The sequence below is a fragment of the Homo sapiens genome, chromosome 5, assembly GCF_000001405.40.
Source record: "Homo sapiens chromosome 5, GRCh38.p14 Primary Assembly".
In the NCBI taxonomy this organism is placed as follows: domain Eukaryota; kingdom Metazoa; phylum Chordata; class Mammalia; order Primates; family Hominidae; genus Homo; species Homo sapiens.
The window spans coordinates 14,970,600-14,994,361 of record NC_000005.10 but is presented as its reverse complement, the minus strand read 5'-3'; the positions used below and the strand labels follow the sequence as shown (position 1 = coordinate 14,994,361).

Below are 23,762 nucleotides of genomic sequence, written 5' to 3'. Positions count from 1 at the left end.
GACAGCGTGCTGGCAGTCCTCACAGCCCTCGCTCGCTCTCGGCCCCTCCTCTGCCTGGGCTCCCACTTTGGCGGCGCTTGAGGAGCCCTTCAGCCCACCGCTGCACTGTGGGAGCCCCTTTCTGGGCTGGCCAAGGCCAGAGCCAGCTCCCTCAGCTTGCAGGGAGGTGTGGAGGGAGAGGCGCGAGCGGGAACCGGGGCTGCGCGCGGCGCTTGCAGGCCAGCTGGAGTTCCGGGTGGGCGTGGGCTTGGAGGGCCCCGCACTCGGAGCAGCCGGCCGGCCCTGCCGGCCCCGGGCAATGAGGGGATTAGCACCCGGGCCAGCAGCTGCGGAGGGTGTACTGGGTCCCCCAGCAGTGCCAGCCCGCCGGCGCTGTGCTCGATTTCTCGCCGGGCCTTAGCTGCCTTCCCGCGGGGCAGGGCTCGGGACCTGCAACCCGCCATGCCTAAGCCTCCCACCCGCTCCGTGTGCTGCTGTGCGCCCGAGCCTCCCCGATGAGCGCCGCCCCCTGCTCCACGGCGCACCCAGTCCCATCGACCACCCAAGGTCTGAGGAGTGCAGGCGCACAGCGCGGGACTGGCAGGCAGCTCCACCTGCAGCCCCGGTGTGGGATCCACTGGGTGAAGCCAGCTGGGCTCCTGAGCCTGGTGGGGACGTGGAGAACCTTTATGTCTAGCTCAAGGTTTGTAAACACACCAATCAGCACCCTGTGTCTACCTCAGGGTGTGTGAATGCACCAATCGACACTCTGTATCTAGCTACTCTGGTGGGGCCTTGGAGAACCTTTGTGTCGACACTCTGTATCTAGCTAATCTGGTGGGGACGTGGAGAACCTTTGTGTCTAGCTCAGGGATTGTAAACGCACCAATCAGCGCCCTGTCAAAACAGACCACTGGGCTCTAGCAATCAGCAGGATGTGAGTGGGGCCAGATACGAGAATGAAAGCAGGCTGCCCGAGCCAGCAGTGGCAGCCCGCTCGGGTCCCCTTCCACACTGTGGAAGCTTAGTTCTTTCGCTGTTTGCAATAAATCTTGCTGCTGCTCACTCTTTGGGTCCACACTGCCTTTATGAGCTGTAACACTCACCGCAAGGGTCTGCAGCTTCGCTCCTGAAGCCAACGAGACCACAAACCCACGGGAGGAACAAACAACTCCAGACGCGCCGCCTTAAGAGCTGTAACACTCACCGCGAAGGTCCGCAGCTTCACTCCCGAGCCAGCGAGACCACGAACCCCACCAGAAGGAAGAAACTCCGAACACATCCAAACATCAGAAGGAACAAACTCCAGACACGCCGCCTTTAAGAACTCTAACACTCACCGCCAGGGTCCGCGGCTTCATTTTTGAAGTCAGTGAGACCAAGAACCCACCAATTCCGGACACAACAGGACACGTGGATCCTTTAAATCAATGCTTCTGAAACTTTATTGTGGGGATTAATCACCTGGGGAGCTTCTTAAAATGCAGACTCGGATTTAGTAGGTCTGAGGTGAGGCTTGAAAAGTCCCAGGTGATGCTAATGCTGCCTGATGACGTCAAGCCTTCACTGAAGTGAATGTAGCTTCCTGTATTCAAGAAATACAACTCATGTATTGCCAGTGAGATGATGTTGCTAAATTTAAAGCAATCCTGCAGAACAAATAAGATGAAAATGGCCTTTATGAGGAGCTTAAAACTTAAATGTTTAATTTCTAATTTCTCAAAAAAGCAATTAACCTATAATAACTTAGAAAATAGTTGCTCAGCTGGGCATGATGACTCACACCTGTCATCCCAGCATTTTGGAAGGCCAAAGCGGGCAGATAACTTGAGGCCAGGAGTTCAAGACCAGTCTGACCAACATGGTAAAACCCCATCTCTACTAAAAATACAAAAATTAGCTGGGCATGGTGGTGGGTGACTGTAAACCCACCTAGTCGGGAGGCTGAGGCAGGAGAGTCACTTGAACCCGGGAGGTGGAGGTTGCAGTGAGCCAAGCTCATGCCTGACATTTAGGACATTCAGGCCCCAAAAAGGACTGGCCTGCCTCTATACCCATCACTCAACTGCTGCCCCAAACCACTTAGGTGGACCTGAGACAAAAGTCAGAATGTCACCTAAAAAGTAAAAATGTACTAGTGGAAAAATAGACAAATGAAAATATTTACTTAACTTTAATTCATAATAACCCATGCAGATTGTATTTTATACTCACTATGAGTATCAAATTATTTCTATAACAAAAAGGATTTGAACAGAAAATACAATTGATCTCAATAAATGAGTCTCTGTCTTAGGCTTCTCCAGAGAAACAGAACCAATAAAATAGATGATTCTATCTATGTAGAAAGATTTACCATAAGGAATTGGCTCACACAATTATAGAGACAAACAAGTCTGAAGACCCACAGTCTGCAAGTTGGATTCCCAGGAGGGCCCATGGGGTAGTTAGTTCCATTTTAAGAGCCAGCAAGCTCAAGACCCAGGAATAGCCAGTGCTTCCATTCAAGTCCAAAGGCAGGAAAAAGCCAGCGTCCTAGTTCAGAGGCAGTCAGGTAGGAGGAATTTTCTCTTCCTCAGGGGAGAATTGGTCTTTTTGTTTTATTCAGGCCTTCTACTGTTTGGATGAGGCTCCCCCACATTAGGGAGGGCAACCTGCTTTACTAAGTCTACCAATTTAAAGGTCAGTCTCTTCTAAAAACATTCAGAATAACACTTAACCAAATATCTGGGCACCCCATGAGCCAAGCAAGTTGACACATAAAATTCACCATCATAGTCCCTTTTAAATTTACTATCTATGAAGTACTGGTATTTCTCATTAAAAAAAAATGTTAGTACAACTCAATAACAACAATAAAATTTTTAAATGGACAAAGGAATTTAATAGATATTTCTCCAAACAAGATACACAAATAGTCAATAGGCACATGCAACAATTTTCACCGTCATCAGTTACAGGGAAACGCAAATCAAAACCACAATAAGATATCTTCACACCCATTAGAATGACTATTATCAAAAAAATGGAAAATAAGAATTGGCAAAGGTGTGAAAACATTGGAACCCTTGTGCATTTTTGGTGGGGAAGTAAAATTATACAGCCACTGTGGAAAAGGATATATCAGTTCCTCAAAAAGTTAAACATAGAATCACATGTGATCTAGCATTTCTACTCATAGGTATACACCCAAAAGAATTGAAAGCATTTACTTGAGCAGATTCTTGTACACCATTGTTCATAGCAGCATTATTCACAATAGCTGAAAGGTAGAAACAGCCCCATCCGTGTCCATCAACAGATGAATGGATACACAAAATGTGGTGTATACATACAGTGAACTACTATTCAGCCTTAGAAAAGCATGAGATTCTGATACATGCAGCAACATGGATGAACCCTAAAGATATCCTGCTAAGTGAAAAAGACACAAAAGGACAAACACTATATGATTCCACATATATGAATGCAACAGTCTGAATGTTTGTGTTCCCCAAAATTTATATGTTGAAAACTAATCACCAATGGGATGATCAAAAGAGGCAGGACCTTTGGGAAGTGATTAGGTCATGAGAGTGAAGTGCTCTTCAATGGCACTGCTGCCCTTATGAAAAAGACCAAGGGCGCTTGTGTGCCCCTTCTACCATGTGAGGTTACAGCAAGAAGACACCATCTACGAACCAGGAAACAAGATCTCGCCAGACGCTGGATCTTGATTTTGAAACTCCAGCCTCCAGAACTGTGAGAATTACATTTCTGTTGTTTATAAGCTACCGGGTCTATGGTATTTTGTTGCAGCAGCCAGCATGGACTAGGACAATAAGGTGCCTAGAATAGGCAAATTCATAGAAACAGAAGGTAGAAGAGAAGTTACCAAAGGCTGGAGATATTATAGAAAACCAGAGGCTGACCATAGTTTTAAAAGGATTTGATTCAGGAATTATTGCAAGAGGGAAAAAGAAACCTCAGTATAGAACTGAGCTCAATTCTGACGACACCAAGGATACATAGGGGCCTGTGGATAGAAAATTAGTAGAAAATTAGTAAAATGAGTCAAGAGTAGGGAGGGATTCTTGCTAAACTGATCTAACAGAATTCTTGCTGAAGGCAGGCCAGATTGATCCAATATTATCTGGAGGATAATGGGGAATGAAGAATTTGATCAGCTATGAAGAGGGATCAGATATCAAGAGTGGAGAGTTCCTGATAAGCTGACTTAGCAGGATTCTTTTTAAAACTGGGCAAGGCCATCCTGACAAGGATGGAGGCCAAGGTCAAGGCCTAGTTGAGAAGATGGCTTAGAGGAGCCCAACTAAAGTTTAGTCAAAGAGAGAGTCATTGTCAGGGGCAGCTAGATGGGAGTTAGTGTTTAATGGGTACAGAGCTTCTGGCAGTTGGGATAATGAAAAAGCTCTGGAAATAGATAGCAGTGATGGCTGTAAAACATTGTGAATGTACTTAATTCCACTCAACTATACACTTAAAAATGGTCAAAATGGAAAATTTTGTGTATATTTTATCACAATGAAAAACCTTCAAAGAAAGTATTGAGGTTAATCCACACCATTCCTTCAATTTCCATTAATTTCCCATGCACAAAGTGGTAGTCAATAAATACTTGCTAAATAAATGAAGTGAAGAATCATACTCCAGAATCAACAAACATCAATTTAGTACATCAATATCTGTGGTACAATCCCCAAAAACTGTACTTCATTAGCAACCCAAGGAAGACACAAAACGAGAATGAGAACATACAGCTCCCATCAAGCAAACAATATTTTTAAAAGACTCAAGTTACCTGCCTATAAATTGGAAATCCAAGTGTACCATGTAAACATAAAATAATTAATATGAAATAGGCAAAACACACAGAATATCTGAAAATAAATTTGTTATCTCACTTGGAACAAAACCCATGTCCTAAAAATGGCCCCATGAGATGAGACCCGGGTCTCTCTCAAATCTCTGTCTGCATCTCCTTTTTCTCCTCCTCTCCCTCCACTCCAGCCACACTGATGAAAGGGTCTTTGCCTGTGCCATTTTCCCCCCTGCCTAGAAGGCTTTCCCTCCAGTTATCTGCATGACTACTACTATCTCCCTTTCTTGAAACTTTGATCAAGTGCACCTTCTCAGTGATCCCTCGTATTTATTTTTAAGTTTATTTTATTTATTTATTTTGAGATGGAGTCTCGCTCTGTCACCCAGGCTGGAGTGCAGTGGCATGATCTCGGCTGATTGCAGTCTCTGCCTTTCAGCATCAAGTGATTCTCCTGCCTCAGCCTCCCAAATAGGTGGGATTACAGGCACGCACCACCCCGCCTGGCTAATTTTTTTTTTTTTTTTTTTTTTTTTTTTTTTTTTTGCATTTTTAGTAGAGACAGGGTTTCACCAATGTTAGCCAGACTGGTCTCGAACTCCTGACCTCAAAAGATCCTCCTTGACCCGGCTTCCCAAAGTGCTGGGATTGCAGGCATGAGCCATCACGCCTGGCCTGATCCCTCATATTTATATGTGCAACATCATCCCAACCACTGCATTCCCCATCTTGGTCTAGTGTCCACCACAGCAGAGCCTGGGTGAAGGCTTGCATGCAGGGGTTGATTTGAAAAGGAGATCACAGGGAGTAGGGGCAGGCCTGGACCAGTGAAAGAGGAAAGACGGGAAGGGCCATCACAGATGTGCAATCCAGCTGGCTGTCTGCACACAATGATCGATCCTTCCAGGCACCTTCTGAGGGACCCTATGAAATGTATCTCAGAGCTGTCCCTCCAGGAGAAGAAAGCAAGAAGCATTTACCAACCCCTTCCTGCCCTCCATTGTTCAAGGGGGCTCCTAGGTGACTGCCTGCACTTTGGGGTTGTGCGTATCTGAGTACAGAGCCAGTTCCCGTGAATGTGCCAGGCTCAGCACAGATAAGTCCCAGAGCGGGAAGCAAGAAGGACAAGGCCTAGGGCAAGGCACTGTCCAGATTGCCCTGGTGGATAGCTGGTCAAAGTCTACAAGGAACTGGTCTCAGTAGCAGTGCCTCGAGTCAAAGGGAGGACATCCCCGTCAAAGGGAGACTTCTGAAGGGGTAGGAAAAAGATGTCCCATCTCCCTTCCCTGCTCTATGTTTTCTATTGCTCTTACCAGCAACTGATATACCATGTTTTATATATATTTGTTCATTATCTGTCTCTTCCTGCTACTGCATAAGCTCAATGAGGGCAGGGATTATTACAGGTTTAGTTCACTTCTGTATCCTCAGTACCCAGCAGCTGTTTGGCACAAAGTGGGTGCTCAGTATATGATTGATGGATGGATGAAATGAATGAATGAATGCAAGTATTGATTTTGAAATACTACGGAAGATTGTATCTTAGTGAGATTTTATGAAAAGAAACTCATGGGTGATGTTTATTGTCACTTATTATCATCATAGAATAATTGTTATTATATTACCCTCAAAATTTATCCAGAAATAAATCTTCAGTTTTCCTATATGTAACCAAGCACCAGCTAAAATTATACGAAGAAAGACATCAGACAAAAGCAATGAAAATCCTTCACAAGAAAATGGAAACGAAATGTTTTTAACACTTTATCTAATTTCCTTTTTTGTTTGTTTTTTTGTTTGTTTGTTTGTTTGTTTGTTTTTGAGACGGGGTCTCACTCCACCGCCCAGGCTGGAGTGAGTGAGTACAGTGGCGCAATCTTGGCTCACTGCAACCTCTGCCTCCTGGGTTCAAGTGATTCTCATGCTTTAGCCTGCCGAGTAGCTGGGACTACAGGCACGCACAACCATGCCTGGCTAATTTTTCTATTTTTAGTAGAGACAGGCTTTCTCCATGTTGGCTGGTCTCGAACTGCTGACCTCAGTTGATCCACCCACCTTGGCCTCCTAAAGTGCTGGGATTATAGGCGTGAGCCACCACACTTGGCCCATTTCTCTAACTTTCTAACCAACTTTACCTGACCACATACCATTTAGAGATGGCCAAGGTCAGTCACAAAAGCTATTCCCTTTACCCAAAACTTCCCATTGCTTCCACCAAACATAGCATTCAGCCTTAATTGGCTTAGCTTACATTTTAAAGAAAAAAAAATTTTTTTTTTTTGAGGCCCAGTTTCACTCTTGTCTCCCAGGCTGGAGCACAGTGGCACAATCTCAGCTCACTGCAACCTCCACCTCCCGGGTTCAAGTGATTCTCCTGCCTCAGCCTCCCGAGTAGCTGGGATTACAAGCGCCTGCCACCACACCTGGCTAATTTTTGTATTTTTAGTAGAGACGGCATTTCCCCATGTTGGCCAGGCTTGTCTCGAACTCCTGACCTCAGGTGCTCCACCTGCACATTTAGAATGTACATGTTTCTATAACCATTTTTATTTTTACCTGTAAAGATAGTGATACACAGGAAATATATCTTATTTTCTCTCTTACTTATACAAATTAACATCTCTTGTTTCAGCTTTTTATCCCCAAACCAGGTCATATTTCTAATGTCCTTTCTCCATGTACAACACATTTAAAAAGTAACTAAAAATATGTTTAGTTCAACAATCCTATGAATATTCATCTAATTCAGTAGCTGACCTCTATATGTCTATGTAAATAAAGAAAATCCAAATTTTCCAGAGCCAAATTATTCTGATTCAAAAGATTTCTTTGTTAAGTAGCATAACCTACAGGTGTTTTAAATGACTGTTTATGGACTGATGACTCTTGGACAGACTTCTGGCTGATTGCACAGGCTGCCTTAATCACCTCTTTAGCCTCATGGTAACGCAAGGCCATATTTCACAGGCCCAAGTTTTCTAGGCTCCACCTAGCACTGTGGTAGCTTTTACCATATTTGTCATAAGGTGAAATAAAGCTGCCTGGGCGCAGTGGCTCCTGCCTGTAATCCCAGCACTTTGGGAGACCAAGGTGGGTGGATCACCTGAGGTCAGGAGTTTGAGACCAGCCTGGCCAACATGGTGAAACCCCGTCTCTACTAATAATACAAAAATTAGCCAGGCATGGTGGTGCATGCCTGTAATCCCAGCTACTCAAGAGGCTGAGGCAGGAGAATCGCTGAACCTGGGAGGTGGAGGTTGCAGTGAGCTGAGATCGCGCCACTGCACTCCAGCCTAGGCGACAAGAGCAAAATTCTGTCTCAAAAAAAAAAAAAAAAATTCAGTTGAGCTTCATTATTCACAGATTTCATATTTTTCTAATTAGGGAACTTCTCCCTAAAATGTATTTGCAACTCCAAAACCAGTCCTTGAGGCACCTTCATGGTCATTTGCAGACATACACAGACCAGCAAAATATTTGAGCAGCTCAATGCACATGTCCAGCTAAGGTCCAACCAGGTGCCACTGTGCCTTCTGGTTTCAGCTCTCCTACTGTACACAAGTCTCCTTTTCATGGTCGCCTTAGTGTCACATTTTTCATATTTCTGAGCATTTTGTTGGTGATTTTGTTGTGTGAAATGCCACACAGGCACAGTGTTCACGTGCTGTCTAGTATTCCTAAGCACAAAAAGTCTGCAATGTGCCTTGAGAAAATGCATGTGTTAGATGAGATTCGTTCAGACATGAGTTGTAGAGCAGTTGGCGCGAGGCCAATGTTAATGAATTAATACTGCATACTAAATAAACTGTCTTTCAACAGAAACCTATAAAATAATGTGATCTATTGATCAGTTAACTAAATGTGACCACAAGCTCGCCAATACCTAACCCTGTACATCTTCTGGAAGCAATGGTTCAGTATTTGCTAATTTGGTGTTCATAGTGACTTTATAGAAAGCTAACTATTGCAAATAACAAGAATCAACTGTACAGGGTGCTCTATAAGCACTAAACAGGGATCTTTCTCGCCATAACGTATCTATCAATCCTTGGTCATATTCTCATAGCCCTCAGCCCTGTGTGTGAAAGGCTGCTGAGTGCAAATATCAGCAATGCCACCTGAAGTCTTTTATCTGACTTTCAACATGCAGGCAAGCTGGACATCCAAGAGCACCCTGACCCATGGAACTCTCCCCAACCAGGACAGTCTGGGGATGTGTCAGATGACGCCCAGCCTCCTGGAGCCTCAAATGGGATAATTCGGAGGCATGTTCCCCACTGCTTCCCAGAGCTCCCCCAGAGAAATTGACCTCCTGTTGTTTGTGGTGGTAACTGGTTTGATAACACATCCTTTGGTGGCTTCGATCACTTCCTGTCTCGCTTCTTCACTCACTTAACATGGGAATATATCCTAGATACACTACTGGCACTCAAATCCTTGTCTCAAGGTCTGCTATATAGGAACCCAAACCAAGACACATGCTAATCCCAAAGCTGTCACACATACCTCAATTGAGGTGATGCCATTGCAAAGTCACAACCAACATGATGATACCCACCCCCAACCAAGTATAATAATACATGACTTAGAGGCACACTGACTGCCCATAACACAAGGTGGTCCCAGTCACAGAGTTTAGAACCCCACACTAGGGACCCATCTGTGGTTCAACCCTTTGGTGACTCCCTGGAGCTGCTAGAACATCTATGACAAGACAGCTCCTAACAGCCCAGAGTATGTGACATGTGCTCAAAATTCGCAACGAATGAAACTGTAGTAGACTTGTAACCCCATTTTGCAAGTAACACAAAACCATTGTGGTAGAAATGTACACCGTGGGTTTTTTAATTTTTAAAATTAAAACATCATGGTTGTACATGTTTGGGGGTACGTGTGATATTTTGAGGCATGTATACAATGTGTAATGATCAGATCAAGGTAATTGGGATTTTTAAGCAAGGAAATGGCAATACAAATTGTATTGACAAAGTGGATGGGTAGGAAGGAAGATAAACTCCTGTTCTCTAGTTAAATGAGAGAATAAAACATTTATTGAGCTATTTTAATTTAAATATATTCAAAATCAAAAACCAAATTCTAAATGGAGGCGGCAGGGAGACAGAAAGGGAGAGAATGACAGGGACAGAGAGAAGAAAGTCCTACATGAACAGAACAAAGGCATTCACCCCCACCAAGAACCTGTCACCCTGAGACCCAAGCCCTGTGGATAACACTATGGAGTAAAGGTCTGGTCAGAGCAGGGCTGGTGGGAACTGCGAGCTCAGCCTTCCCCAGGCTGTTGATGGCATACACGGTAGCAGGCAGATCCTGTGCAAGGGGGAAACCACAGGCAGGAAGCAGCCTCTGTCTTTATGCCTTTCTAAGATATTTATACACTCCACTGTGGCCAGCAAACATAACTGGTATAACTTGGATGAAATTTTAATTATATGGGATTTTAATGATTTAAGTTGCTGTGGGCGGAGAGGGGAGGATAATAAGGAGGAAGTGAAGGTTCACCCAAGTCCAGCTGTCTGTTTCCCCTCAGCCCCCTAGAAAAACCAGCATTCCAGAGGAAGGTCTCAAGGTTCACTGTTGAAGGTAGGAGACAGCCACATAATTCTAGCTACTGGCTATGGGCACTGGCTGTGTCAATATCCAGTCTCGCCACAACATGTCAACAAGTTTACAGATCTGGAGTTGATAATCTTGCTATAAAAAGGGTTATGGGGAACATTGGCATCTCCATACTGCGCACTTCCACCTGTCATTTCTCCTATTCTTCCTTGTCTCTCTTTCTGCTTTACTCCTCTGGACTGGCACTTGCACTGTCGACAAAAAAAAAAAAAAGCAAAACTCTCCAAAATATTTGAAGAGGTTTATTTTGAGCCAAATATAAGGGCCATGGCCTGTGACACAGCCTGAAAAGGTTCTGAGAACATGTGCCCAAGATGGTTTGGTTATAGGTTGATTTTATACATTTTATGGAGACAGAAGGCAAAGACATAAATCAATACATGGAAGGTGTAGATTGGTTGGGCCCAAAACAGAGGTACATCTCCAAGAGTAGAGGGGCTTCCTGCTCATAGAAAGATTCGAAGATGTCCTGATTGGTAATTGGTTGAAAGGCGTAAGCTTTTCCTGAAGAGGTAAAGTCAGCATAAAGAAATGTTTGAGTTAAGATAAAGGGGATGTGGAAGCCAAGGTTCTTGTTAGGTGCATGAAGCCTCTAAGTCATAGGATTCAGAGAGAATAGATGATAAATGTCTCTTTTGGACCTTAAACAGTGTCAGACTCTCTGAAAAAGGCCTAGTAAGGGAAGGAAATTCTCTATAGAATGCAAATTTCCCCCAGAAATTTCCTGGCTTTGCAGGGCCATTCCAAAACCTGTCAAAGAAATATATTTCAGGATGAAATAGTTTGATTTCCTTCTTGGCAACTATCTGTCTCGTGATGCTGTACCAGAGCCAGGTTGGAGTTGGGTATCTTATTGCTACAAATAGTCTGTTTAGTCAGTCTTAAGATCTGTTTTAATGTGAATCCTGGTCAGTTTTGCCTAAACTCCAAAGGGAGGCATTTTCAACACCCCCTGCTTCCTGTCATGGCCCAAACTAGTTTTTCGGGTTTCTTTGGGACCCCTTGGCCAAGAGAGGGGGTCCATTCAGTCAGTTGGGGAGGTTAGAATTTTATTTTTGGTTTACACCATCTCCTGTCATTGTCAAGAGCTGTGTCAGAGGGAGACCAAAGTGTTCTATTCAGAATACGCCATCATTATCTTGCAAACACTAAGGAGAAGGCCACCCTTGATTGGTCTCAATGTGGAGCAGTGTGGAACCATAGAAGGGACCTCCATAACACTTTCACCCAACACCGACTTTGCTGACACACACCTTGCAAAGGCAGGAATGGGGTCATACTTGGGCCAGTGGGGTCATACTTGGGCCATGGAGCTCATGTAAACCAAAAGTAAAATTCTAAGCCCTCTAACGGACTGAATGGACACCCTCTTGGCCAAGGGGATCCCAAAGAAACCTGAAAAACTAGTTGAGGCCATGACAGGAAGCAGGGGGTGTTGGACATGCCTCCCGTTGGAGTTTAGGCACAACTGACCACCATTCACATTGAAAGGGATCGTAAGACTGATCAAACAGATTCTTTGTAGCAATAAGACATCCAATTCCAACCTGACTCCGGTATAGCATCACATGACAGATAGTCGGCCCTAAAGGAAATCAAACTATTTTATCCCAAAATATATTTAACAAGAACCTTGGCTTCCACATTCCCCTTATCTTTTTTTTTTTTTTTTTTTTTTTTTTTTTTGAGATGAAGTCTCACTCTTTTGCCCAAGCTGGAGTACAGTGGTGTGATCTCCACTCACTGCAGCCTCCCCTCCTGGGCTCAAATGTTTCTTCTGCTCAGCTTCCCCAGTAGCTGGGATTACAGGCGCCTGCCACCATGCCCAGCAATTTTTTTGTATTTTCCATACAGACGGGGTTTCACCATTTTGGCCAGGCTGGTCTCGAACTCCTGACCTCAAGGGATCCGCCCCCTTATCTTAATCCAAGCATTTCTTTATGCTGATTTTACTTCTTCAGGCAAAGCTTACCTCTTTCAACCAACTGCCAGTCAGGAAATATTTGAATCATCCCGTGAGCAGGAAGCCTCCCTACCCTTGGAGATGTCCCACCTTTCTGTGCCAAACAAATGTACACCTTCCATGTATTGATTTATGTCTTTGCCTGTAACTTCTGTCCCCCTAAAATGTATAAAAGCAACCTATAATAAAACCATTTTGAGCACATGTTCTCAGAGCCTCTTGAGGCTGTGTCACAGGCCATGGCCTTTAACTTTGGCAAAATAAACCTTTAAATTGAGACCTGTCTCAGATACTTTGGTTTACACTCAAAAGGCCCTTTTTAAACTATCACATAATTCTATTCAGCAGAACTACAACATCTGATTTTGCAGTCACATGCTTTGGGAGGATCTGCAGGATGGCTGAGTGGACCAGCAAGAAAGTTTGTGTTTTCATTCACTCAGTCATTTACTGAGAACTAGCTACTCGGCTAGATGCCTTGAGGGCTGCCTCAATGAATATGATGGAAGTTTGATCCTCAAGCCCTTGACAATATGGCAGGAGGCAGCACACATGCACAAACAATGAAACAAAGCAAAGTGCCCTGACCAAGAACATGGGTAAGAGGCTCTCAGCTGAGAGTTCAAGAAAGCCTCACAGATGGCATTTGAACTTGGCCTTCAAGGACAGATAGGCTTTCCGTAGGAAAAGACAAATGATTCCAGGTAAAATGAACAGAAGTAGGAAGGTACAAGGTGAGGGCATTCAGGCACGAGAAGTATTTCATTTTAGGTGAGTTATATGTATGCTAAAGGAGGTAAGGCTAAAAGAGTTAGGTTAGGGCTAGAATTTTATGTTAGAGGCAATGGGGAGGCAATGAATGTCAGAGCTTGGTTCAACCCTTCCCTTCAAAGATTAGATTCCCACACCTAGAGAGGATCAGAATCTTTTCCAAGATCCCATAGCCTGTCAGAGCTGGTGCTGGGTTCCCCATCCAGGGACTCCACTGTGTGTGGCTATTTCACAATCAGAACTGAGCCTTAGGACAAATAATCTGGCAGCAGAATAAAGAATGGATGACAGAGGTGGAGGGACAACAGGCACGGGAGATGCAAAGAGGCCAGGTTCCAGGAAAGGAACACTAGGCACCTGGAGCCAGCTCATGGCGTGGAAATGTGAAGGAAGGTAGGAGTCCAACAGCAATTGTGGAGGGAGAATTTGTAGGCCAAGATGACTGTTTGGTTGTGTGGGCTGTGGCAGAGTGAGGAGGAAGAGTTGATTCCAAGGTTTCAAGTTTGAGTGACTACGAGGCCCTTTTATGGGCAAAGGAAACTGCCCACTCTTTCCTTAGCTTCTGGCAGGGCACCTTCCTTTCTTCCACCCTGCTGCCAAGAGCACTCCCTCATAGGTGTCCTGGCCCCCAAGTCAAGACTCTCTGTGGAGCCCTTGCTCCCTGACATGTGACAATGTCAACACTGTTATTCCTTTTTGTTAAGTCTCCATCTTCTTGGATTTCTTAGTTCCATGAGCTTTTATTACTTACTCTAACTTTCCTTCAGCCCCACAAAATGCAATTTTCTTCTAAGTTTATATTCTTTTCTCTTTTCTTGTTAGCAACATATGACAGAAACCCAATTCAAACCAGTTCAAGTGAAAAAGAAAATGTATTGGTTCCTAAAATTGAAAAGTTTGTAAGGAGATATGTCTTTAGGTATAACTGGATTCAGGGATCTAAACTGCATCTGTCTCTCCCTCTCCCTCTCTCTCTCTCTCTCCCTCTCTCTCTCTGCTATACTTTTGTTTCTGTTGGCTTCCCTCCTAGGCAGACTCTACTGCTCTACTGATAATACGACCTCCAGCAGTTCTATGGCCCTCCAGCTTAGTTGCTCTTGTAGAAGGAAAAGAAAGTTCCAATGTATTCAACAAAAGTGCCAGGATTTCATTTTATTAGAACCAAGTTGGTCCAATGCCATTCCTAAACCAATCCCAATGACCAGAGGGCTGGAATGTGCTGATTGGCCAGGCCTGAATGGCAGATGGCCAGGGTTGGGCTCATTCGAATCACATGAACTAACAGTTGGAAAGAGTGTGTCCGCTAAGAGGAGACTCAAAGGTAAACCACGTAATTCTCTAACCACATGTTGGCTAGGAAAACAACATGTAGTTGTTGTTGTTTACATCTATTTACATCTGTTCACATCCTAAATATCTTATGTGTAGGCCTGGTTTCTCTGTGGATTTCTGGACCCCTTACTGGATACTTTCTGTTAAACATGTCATTTCTGTTTTAAACTCTATACATTCAAAGGTAAATGCTTCTCCTGCTATATTTCCTATTTGCACGGGAGGTGCAAATAGGAAATCCTAAGTCACCGGAAATCATGACTCTGGAGTCATTTGTATTCTTTCCTCATCCACAAAAGGCATGTACTTGTACATATAGATGAATACACAAATGCACATCCCAGTCCTCTAATTCCTTCTCCACTTCATCTCTCGCAGCAGCCACTGATGTGGCAGAGTGTAAAGATGGCCAGATCCTTCACTCTTTTCTATCCACTCATTTTCCACCATGATTTTGCAATAGGTAGAGTTTATTTCCCCACCCAGTGAATCTGGGTTGGACTTGGAGTTTTCTTTGGCCAATCTAAGCCTGTCTTTGTGACTTGCTCTCCTGGCTTCACCATGACATCATGCTCAAGCTAACCTGTGAAGCAAAGACAAGCCATCCCCCTGAGCCCATCCTAGACTAGTCAGACACCAGGTGACCTGGCCACTGACCAAAGATGTTTATGCTTATACTGACCAGAGATGTTTATGTTAAGCAAAGCCAAAAGCACAAAAACTGCCAACCTGAGCCCAGTCCAACTTGATGATCCACAGACCCATGAGCTAAATACATGGTCGCTATTTTTAAACCATTGCATTTAATATTTCCGTGTTAGACAGCTAATGTTAACTGATACACTTTCTTTCCTAAGCCATGCTTCCATTTCCATCTCACCTGGCTGATGAGTTAAGGCTGGAGTTGGCCTTGGAATAACTAGTAACAATTATTTCTAACACTTACATAATACTTACTCTGTGCCAGACAGCATTCTAAGCACCTACATATAATAACTCATTAGAAGTTTCACAGCAATAAAATGTATCACTGTCTAGGGTATGGGAACACTGGAGTGCACATGATAGAGAATCACTGGAAGACATTATAGATATAGTTTGGATGTTAGTCCCCTCCAAATCTCATGTTGGAACGTGATCCCCAACGTTGGAGGTGAGGCCTAGCGAGAGGTGTTTGGGTCATAGAGGAGGATCCTCCTGAATGACTTGGTGCTCTCCCGGCAGTAATGAGTTCACATGAGATCTGCTTGTTAAAAAGTCAGGGAACTCCCCGCTCTCTCTCTTGCTCCCTCTCACCATATGACATGCCTGCTCCCCTTTCATCTTCCACCATGATGAAAAGCTTCTTGAGGCCTCACCAGGAGCTGAGCAGATACGGTTGCCATGCTTGTACAGCCTGCAGAAATGTGAGCCGAATAAACCTCTTTTCTTTATAAATTACCCAGTAGCAGGTATTTTTTATAGCAACGCAAAACAGATTAATACAGTTATTCAGCCTCAAAACAGAAGCCAAGCATTCAGTGATATTTGGTCCCCTAAATATCATGAAGCATCAGGGACTTCCATGAGACCAGTTTCATCCATTATATACCATCTCTCTCCAGCATGGAGTCTCCAGCCCAAGAATAAAATTTTATTTTTAAACAGCCACACTAAACCATCCATCACTCTAAAAAGAATCCAAGGATTTCATACAAATCAATGGGAATTGCCCATGCATCTCTGAGAACTAAATTGCTCTTTATTGATTAAAAACCCATTCAAATAAAATATTTTGTATTAAAAGGGGATTGCATTACTTTATCCTCTTGCAATGTTTATCAAAGCTACTGTGTTTAACAGACAAATTTAATCAGAGCAATTATCTACTAAGTATTTAAAGATAGCAGTACCAAATAGTAAAGATTACCCCAACCACCCATCAATTAATCTGTCATTGTTCCAAAAAATAACCCATATCAAAAGTGAATCCTACGAACATTCTACCAGGGAAAGTTATCTATTGCAAAAGACCCGCAGGGTGGTGGTAGAGGGGATGTGAAAGAGAGAGAAGTGGTTTAAGAAAACACAGCATTTTAAAAATTAAATTAAGGATTATATTTAAGGACTATTTGAGAATCTTACACATTGTAAGACTAACCTCAATACCTTTTTTTTTTCAGTTAGTCTAAAATTTCCAGTAACTATTTTGTTTATTGTTTTTACTCTATTTTTCCCAAGCATACAGGAGAAGGAAGAGCTGGTTCCCTTTATTAACAGGTGAAGTTGAAAGGGAGGTTTTATAGTCAGTCATAAAAATGAGCCCAGTTAAGAATTTTATTTTTGTTGAAAAAGCACCACAAGATAGGTAAAGGTCAACTTTAGCAAGATTGTAAAACGGGGAAGTAGTAGAATAAGCCTGGGCCTGTTTCCCAGAACAAAAGAGCTCATTGTGCTGGAGACCTTATCACCTAGGCACAGGTAGGCATTCTGTGCCCTGGAAAACATCGGTTTTATTCTTGAAGCCTGAAAAATAATGCTTCCCTAAACCTCAGACTATTTTCATCCCTGTCACTGCTAAATACACACAAATGTTCAATAAACATATATGAGCACAAAGAGCAATAAAGAAATAGGGCAAAGATGACCTTACTTTGATGGTATAAGATTAAACACTAGACATTAGATCATTTCAGGTCACAAAACCACCAAATATATGCCACACAATATACCATGTATTTAATCATTTGCTATCCTGTTAAGATGTTCCTTTTACATGGCTTGCAAACAAATTGGCATTGCATTTCCTAATATTAGTAACTGCAAAATGTAAGAGGTGGAAAAACTTTTGTAACGGGTGAAGTATTAAAAAATGACAAAAAGAAAAATCTCTTAGATCAGGTGAGAGAAAATGATGTTGGTAATGTTATGTTTCATTGACTGCCCAGAAAAATTGAAAAATGTCATAAATAGACAAGTTCCATTCTGTTTTACTACAGAAGATCTTCAAAGAAAAAACCCACACAATCCTGCTTGCCACTAGTTACGTCCGTCATATTGCTGGGTACTCTTGCTGTCTCAAAATGGAAGCCTGGGCTAGCCTTTTAGCCTTTTCTCAATCTCTCTTCAGCACAAACCTGAAATGAGTTTAGCTTTAAAGTGGTCGTAGAAATGTTTTTCTTATAGTGCAGTGAATCCGCACAGCTGGAGGAGTTCAATATGGCAGATCAAAGGCTTGCTCCAGTAGCTCCGCTGGAATTTCCTCTTCACAACAGTGTCACTCCAGAACCGTTTCATAGTAGTTAAATGGATTGTTGTAATCTACAAAAATAACAGACGATGAACAGGTTAGTCTTGTGCAGCTGTTGAGAGGATAGTCAGAATTTCAAAATCCTAATATTCCCTACATCACCAACATTTTTCTACGGATCAAAAAGCTTGGCTGGGTGCGGTGGCTCATGCCTATAATCCCAGCAGTTTGGGAGGTCAAGATGGGTGGATCATTTGATGTCATGAGTTCGAGACCAGCCTGACTAACATGGTGAAACCCCATCTCTACTAAAAAATACAAAATTAGCCTGGCACGGTGATGCATACCTGTAATCCCAGCTACCTGGGAGGCTGAGGCAGGAGAATCACTTGAACCAGGGTGGCAAATGTTGCAGTGAACCAAGTTTGCGCCATTGCACTCCAGCCTGGACAAGAGGAAAACTCTGTCTCAAAAAAAAAAAAAAGTTTATAGCTCACTTTGAGTTTCCACCTACACATCTACAAAGATGTTGCTATCATTTTGCTCATGGAATGGTGGAGCTAGACTTGGACAAAGCCCCGAAGGCCATCATTCCTCATTTCATAAATGTGGAAATGAGAAAATGGGAGAAAAAAAACAAAGGACTTGCCCAAGATCACACAGCCAGCCAATGGCAGAGCAGGGATGAGAAACTGAGTCTCTGGACATTCAGCTAAGTAATCTTTCCATTCATGATAAATAAGTAACCTTGAAGCTTTTAAAATAAATACAAGTTTGCTTGTAGCAAAGCTGCTAATGATAGAGCTTAAAAAACACATATGCAGAAGGAGAATTTTGCTTTCTAAGGGTATCAGAACATTTTGCGGCACAGTTTTATTGATCTAGTTAAAAAGACCATATTTAGACCGGGCACAGTGGCTCACACCTGTAATCCCAGCACTCTAGGAGGCCAAGGTGGGTGGATCACTTGAGGTCAGGAGTTCAAGACCAGCCTGGCCAACATGGTGAAACCCCATCTCTACTAAAAATACAAAAATTAGCCAGGCGCAGTGGCATGTGCCTGTAATCCCAGTTACTCAGGAGGCTGAGGCAGGAGATCGCTTGAACCCAGGAGGCAGAGGTTGCAGTGAGCCGAGATCGCGCCACTGCACTCCAGCCTGAGCAAAAGAGCAAGGCTCCATCTCAAAAAAAAAAAAAAAAGCATCATTTAAAGCCATGAGAACTTATAAAAATGTTAAGACCTCTTTCTACAAACTACAAAGGATATTCTGATAAAGGTAATCAGGGCTATGTAACGTTTAGCTTCTCTGGAAGCAATGATCAAGTTTTACAGCTGCTTTACAGAACACCAGGAATGACAGGTAAATGCTGCTTAATGAGTGCTAGACATTCATGAAGAATGACATTCTTTCAAGTCTTTCAATTGGCTTTCCCATCTACTCTCATTACAAACTCTGGGACGGTCATCACCATCCTTGAGCTTCCTGTGACTTACCCGTGTTCCAGATGCCATTTCACAAGAGAAGTTAATACAGAGTGGAAATTTCTATCTGTGGCATAACAGCTCTGACAAAGAAAGGCAAAATAAACTCGTGTCCTTTAATCAACATTTGCTCAGTACCTGCGCTATAGCAGGTACTGAGTTAAATGCTACAGGTGATACAAAAAAGAATAGGCTTTGATGTTTGCCCTCGAAGACTTCACAGACTTCTAAGTCCTAGCAAAATAAATAAAATGCTAAGGGACCACAGAGAAAATCTTTTAGTCCTGAGGAAGCAGGCAAGCCAAGAGGTCATAAGGATGGCTTCACAGAGGAGGTGTTCTGCTATTTATCGCTGTTTCATAGACCACCCCCAAATTTAGTAGCTTAGGACTATGATGACATTTAGTTTTCTCCTGAACCTACAATTTGGTTTTTTTAACTTTTCCAAATTTGTTTTTTTTTTTAACTTTTCCAAATATTTATTATTTCTAGTTGACATTTTTAGATTTTTTTGTTGATGCATAATGCACATGTAGAAAAGTGTGGAAGTTCCAAGTGTACAGCTCCCGGAATGATCACAAAGCAAGCTCACCTGAGCAACCACAACCCAGGTCAAAACTAGAACACTGAAGGGTCTCAAGAGACCTGCTATGCCTCCTACCAATCATTCTGTCCTCCCTCCTCTCTGAAGGTAATCACATTATTGACTTCTAAGACAATAATTGTTTTGCCTGTTTTTAAACTTTATAAACTTTTTTATAAAACTAGTTTATTAAGTTTATTAAACTGTATCAATAACTTCAAATTCACATATTGAAGTTTATTAGACTATATTAATAACTTCAAATTTATACATTTATATTTTATATTAACATTATATTAATACAATAGGACCCTTTCATGTCTGGCATTGTTCACTTAATACCATTTTTGAGATTTATTTATATTGTTGCAATAGTTGTAGGTTTTTTTTGCTGTACAGCATTTCAGTGTGGAACTATACTATGAGTTTTTAATCCATTCTGCTATTGATGGACATTTGGATACATTCTAGTTTGAGGATATTTATGTCTTTGGTGTGCAGATATACACAATTCTGTTGAATATGTACTAGGAAAGGAAATGCTGGGCTAGAAAATATGTGTATGTTAATCTTTAGCAGATACTGCCAAACAGTCTTCAAAAGTGGTTGTATGAATTCAGACTCCCAACTCTACAGTCTAAAAACTGTGGCACGGGTGAGAGTTCCAGTTGTTTCACATCCTTATCAGCATTTAGTATTGTTGGCCCTGAAATTTTAGCCATTCTGGTGGACCTGTAGTAGTATCTCATTGTAAATTTCATTTGTATTTCCCTGACAGTCAATGAGATTGAGCATTGTGAATCTGCGATTTGGTCAGAGCCCACTGGGGCTGGTTTGTCTCTGCTCCACTCAGCATCAGCTGGGGCTGCTCAAAGTCTTGGTCACTAGAATCATCTGAAGGCTCCTTCACCCATATTTCTGGAGATTGACGCTCATAACTTGGGACTGTTAGCTAGAACACCTATACACAGCATCTTCCTGTTACCTGGGCTCCCTCAGAACATGGCTGGATGTTAATTAAGTTTCGTGTAGGGGGAGAAAGCAGAAAAGAGAGGGGATGTCTAGGAGCAGTGGCTTATATTTGTAATTCCAGCACTTTGGGAGGCCAAGGCAGTAGGATCTATTGAGCCCAGGAGTTTGAGGCTGCAGAAAGCTATGACTGCACCACTGCATGTTGGCCTGGGTGACAGAGCCAGACTCTGTCTCTAAATAAAAAAATTAAATTAGACCAGGCACAATGTTCATGCCTATAATCCCAGCACTTTGGAAGGCTGAGGCTGGAGGATTGCTTGAGCTCAGGAATTCAAGACCAGCCTGGGCAATACAGTGAGACTCCAGCTCTATAAAAAATAAAAATAGAAATTAGTCAGGAATGGTGGCATGTGCCTATAGTTCTAGCTACTCTGGAGACTTAGGCAAGAGGATTGCTTGAGCCCAGAATTCAAGGTTGCAGTAAGTTACGATCGTACCATGGCACCCCAGCCTGGGCAACAGAGTGAGATCTTGTCTCTACAACCAGTTAATTAATTAATTTAAAAAGGAGGAAGAGAGAATATTAGTGGCAGCCACATTGCCTTTTGTGACCTAGCCTCAGAAGTCACACAACATCAATTCTGCCACATGAGATTCACATGGTCACAAAGTCCTGTCAGCCACTGAATGGAGAAATTATAAGGCTCTAGAAGAGATGGGAAATATCACTGTTGTATTTTGGGAAACTAAAATCTACCACAGGTGATAATTTTTTAGAACCTGAAGGATGAATTTTTTTCCAAGTGAAGAGTTGAATGTTTAGGCAAAGAAGAAGAAAATAATCAAGTAGATGGAAATGTATAGCACATTACCTGACAATAAAAAAAACTGAAATCATAGGGAAAATAATTAAAATACACTAATTCAGAATCATTTTTATTAATGTGAGAAGGATAAAAATAAAATAAAATTTCTATCCCATCACTGTTCATTTATTATGTGCTAGGCACTGTGAAAAATATTCCTATTTAATTCTCACAACAATCCTAACTAGAAGATTTTTCTATCCCCATTTTATGGATGAAGGAACTGAGTTTCTGAAAATTTAAAAGATTTATGTAACTAGTAAGAGGATCCCATGCAAACTCTGTCTAGTTCCAAAGCTCATGGTCTTAACGACGGTGCTAGTCTGGAAACGGAAAATAAGAACTAAATCTAAGCAAAAAACCTAGAACTGTTGTATTAACTACGAGATTACCAGTGATGAGTGGATAAACCCCCAAATCTCAGTAGAGTAATATAACCAAGGTTTATTTTTGTTCATGTAAATTCTGAATGTTTCTGATCAACAAGACTCTCTTTCAAGCAATAATTTAGGGGCCTATGCCTCTTCTTTCTTGTGGCCCCACTGTCTTCCGTATTTTCTCTCTGAGGTTGCCCTTGAAGGAGAAACACCTGGGAGATTTTTATGGCTTAGGCCTGGAAGTGACATCACTCACTTCCACTCACATTCTATTGGCTGAACTCAGTCACATGGCCATACCTAACAGCAAAGGAGATTGGGAAATGTGTCTCCACCACAGCACTTAGTGATCGAAGTCCCTCTTTCATAGAACTGTGGCATTTGCTTAAAGCATTGAGAAATACTATAGAAATAAATTAGCACTTCACTTGCATTATTTAAATCGATAGATTTTTACTTATTTCTCCTCATATCAAGATGTGGAATTCTACAAATCATTAGCACATAACCTAAAGGCAAACTCATCAGTAATAATTTCCTTTGGGGTTTGTTTTAGTTTGTGTTGTGTCTTGTTCTGTTTTTTTGTTTTTTGTTTTTTTTGGGTTTTTTTTGAGACAGGGTCTTCCTCTGTCCCCTAGACTAGAGTGCAGTGGTGTATCATAGCTCACTGCAGCCTCAAACTGCTGGGTTCAGATGATCCTCCCATCTCAGCCTCCTGAGGAGCTGAGACTACAGGTGCATGCCACCACACCTGGCTATTTTCTTGTTTTTAGTACATATGGGGTCTCCCTATGTTGCTCCGGCTGGTCTCAAACTCCTGGCCTCAAGCAATCCTCCTGCCTCAGCCTCCCAAAATGGTGAGATTACAAGCATGAGCCACTGTGTCTGGCCTCCTGTGTTTGTTTATAAATGAGGCAATAAAAATTATATTATGAATACCAGACTAAAGGGGAGAGTTATAGGTTGAGTTAGCCATTGCCAAACATATAAGTTAATAAAGATTTTGGAGTTTTCAGTAAATAAGATAACCTGTAATTAAGAATTAGTAAGGAGAGAAGACATTACAATACACATGTAAATGATATTAAATGTGCCCGCATTTTGGATTTTGATGACTTAAACTTGTATACTATCTACAACTGCCCCTTGTTGTTCTTTGAAAGCCGGGCATGCTCCTGTGTCCAGGTCTTTACTCTGGGGAAAGAGCTTTACAGGCAGAGGAAACAGCTAGCAAAGAAAAGATAATCTGCCCACAATAGCGTGTACAGTTGGAAAGCAGCTGTTCACGCTATGGAGCTGATTTCCAAACCTGATCTGGAAAGCAGAGATCCAAAGCACTGCACAAGGCCAAACAGTAGGCCCCACAGGGGAGGTGCAGACCCAGAGGTGGCTCTGAAACTGAAATCCTGTTGATGGGTGGACCAAGCTTGAGTTTAGTTACCTTGGAGACAACAGAATCCCTTCAAAGTAATTATCTTTGCCAGGCGTAATGGCTCACACCTATAATCCCAGCACTTTAAGAGACTGAAGTCAGGAGTTCGACACCAGCCTGGCCAACATGGTGAAACCCCATCTCTACTTAAAATACAAAAATTAGCCGGGCATGGTGGCACATCCCAGCTACTCCAGAAGCTAAGGCACGAGAACCCAGGAGGCAGAGGTTGCAATGAGCTGAGATTGTGCCACTGCACTGCAACCTGAGCAACAGAGCAAGACTTTGTCTCAAAAAATAATAATTATTATTATTATCT

The 23,762-nt window shown here is 42.5% G+C and overlaps 1 long non-coding RNA gene across 4 annotated transcripts, besides 2 other annotated features; it reads right to left on the bottom strand.

Moving 5' to 3' along the window:
* Positions 1,047–1,156: an enhancer, noted in NCBI's record as "active region_22419". NCBI's record gives its function as "activates an Ori minimal core promoter by ATAC-STARR-seq in GM12878 lymphoblastoid cells {active_cell/tissue: GM12878}" and the evidence as "EXISTENCE:reporter gene assay evidence [ECO:0000049][PMID:35858748]".
* Positions 1,167–1,346: an enhancer, noted in NCBI's record as "active region_22418". NCBI's record gives its function as "activates an Ori minimal core promoter by ATAC-STARR-seq in GM12878 lymphoblastoid cells {active_cell/tissue: GM12878}" and the evidence as "EXISTENCE:reporter gene assay evidence [ECO:0000049][PMID:35858748]".
* On the bottom strand, positions 1,398–23,450 carry LOC107986376 (uncharacterized). 4 transcript variants are annotated; one of them, XR_001742499.2, is made up of 3 exons: positions 23,321–23,450; positions 17,618–17,801; positions 1,398–1,628 (listed from the first exon to the last, which is right to left on the bottom strand). It is a non-coding gene; the product is annotated as an uncharacterized LOC107986376 (long non-coding RNA). The 4 variants fall into 4 exon arrangements; XR_001742500.1 differs by lacking the exon at positions 1,398–1,628 and adding an exon at positions 15,813–15,897 and having other exon boundaries at positions 23,321–23,414; XR_001742501.2 differs by lacking the exon at positions 1,398–1,628 and adding an exon at positions 19,226–19,296 and having other exon boundaries at positions 16,804–17,801; positions 23,321–23,414.
* Between the last annotated feature and the right edge of the window lie 312 nt (positions 23,451–23,762).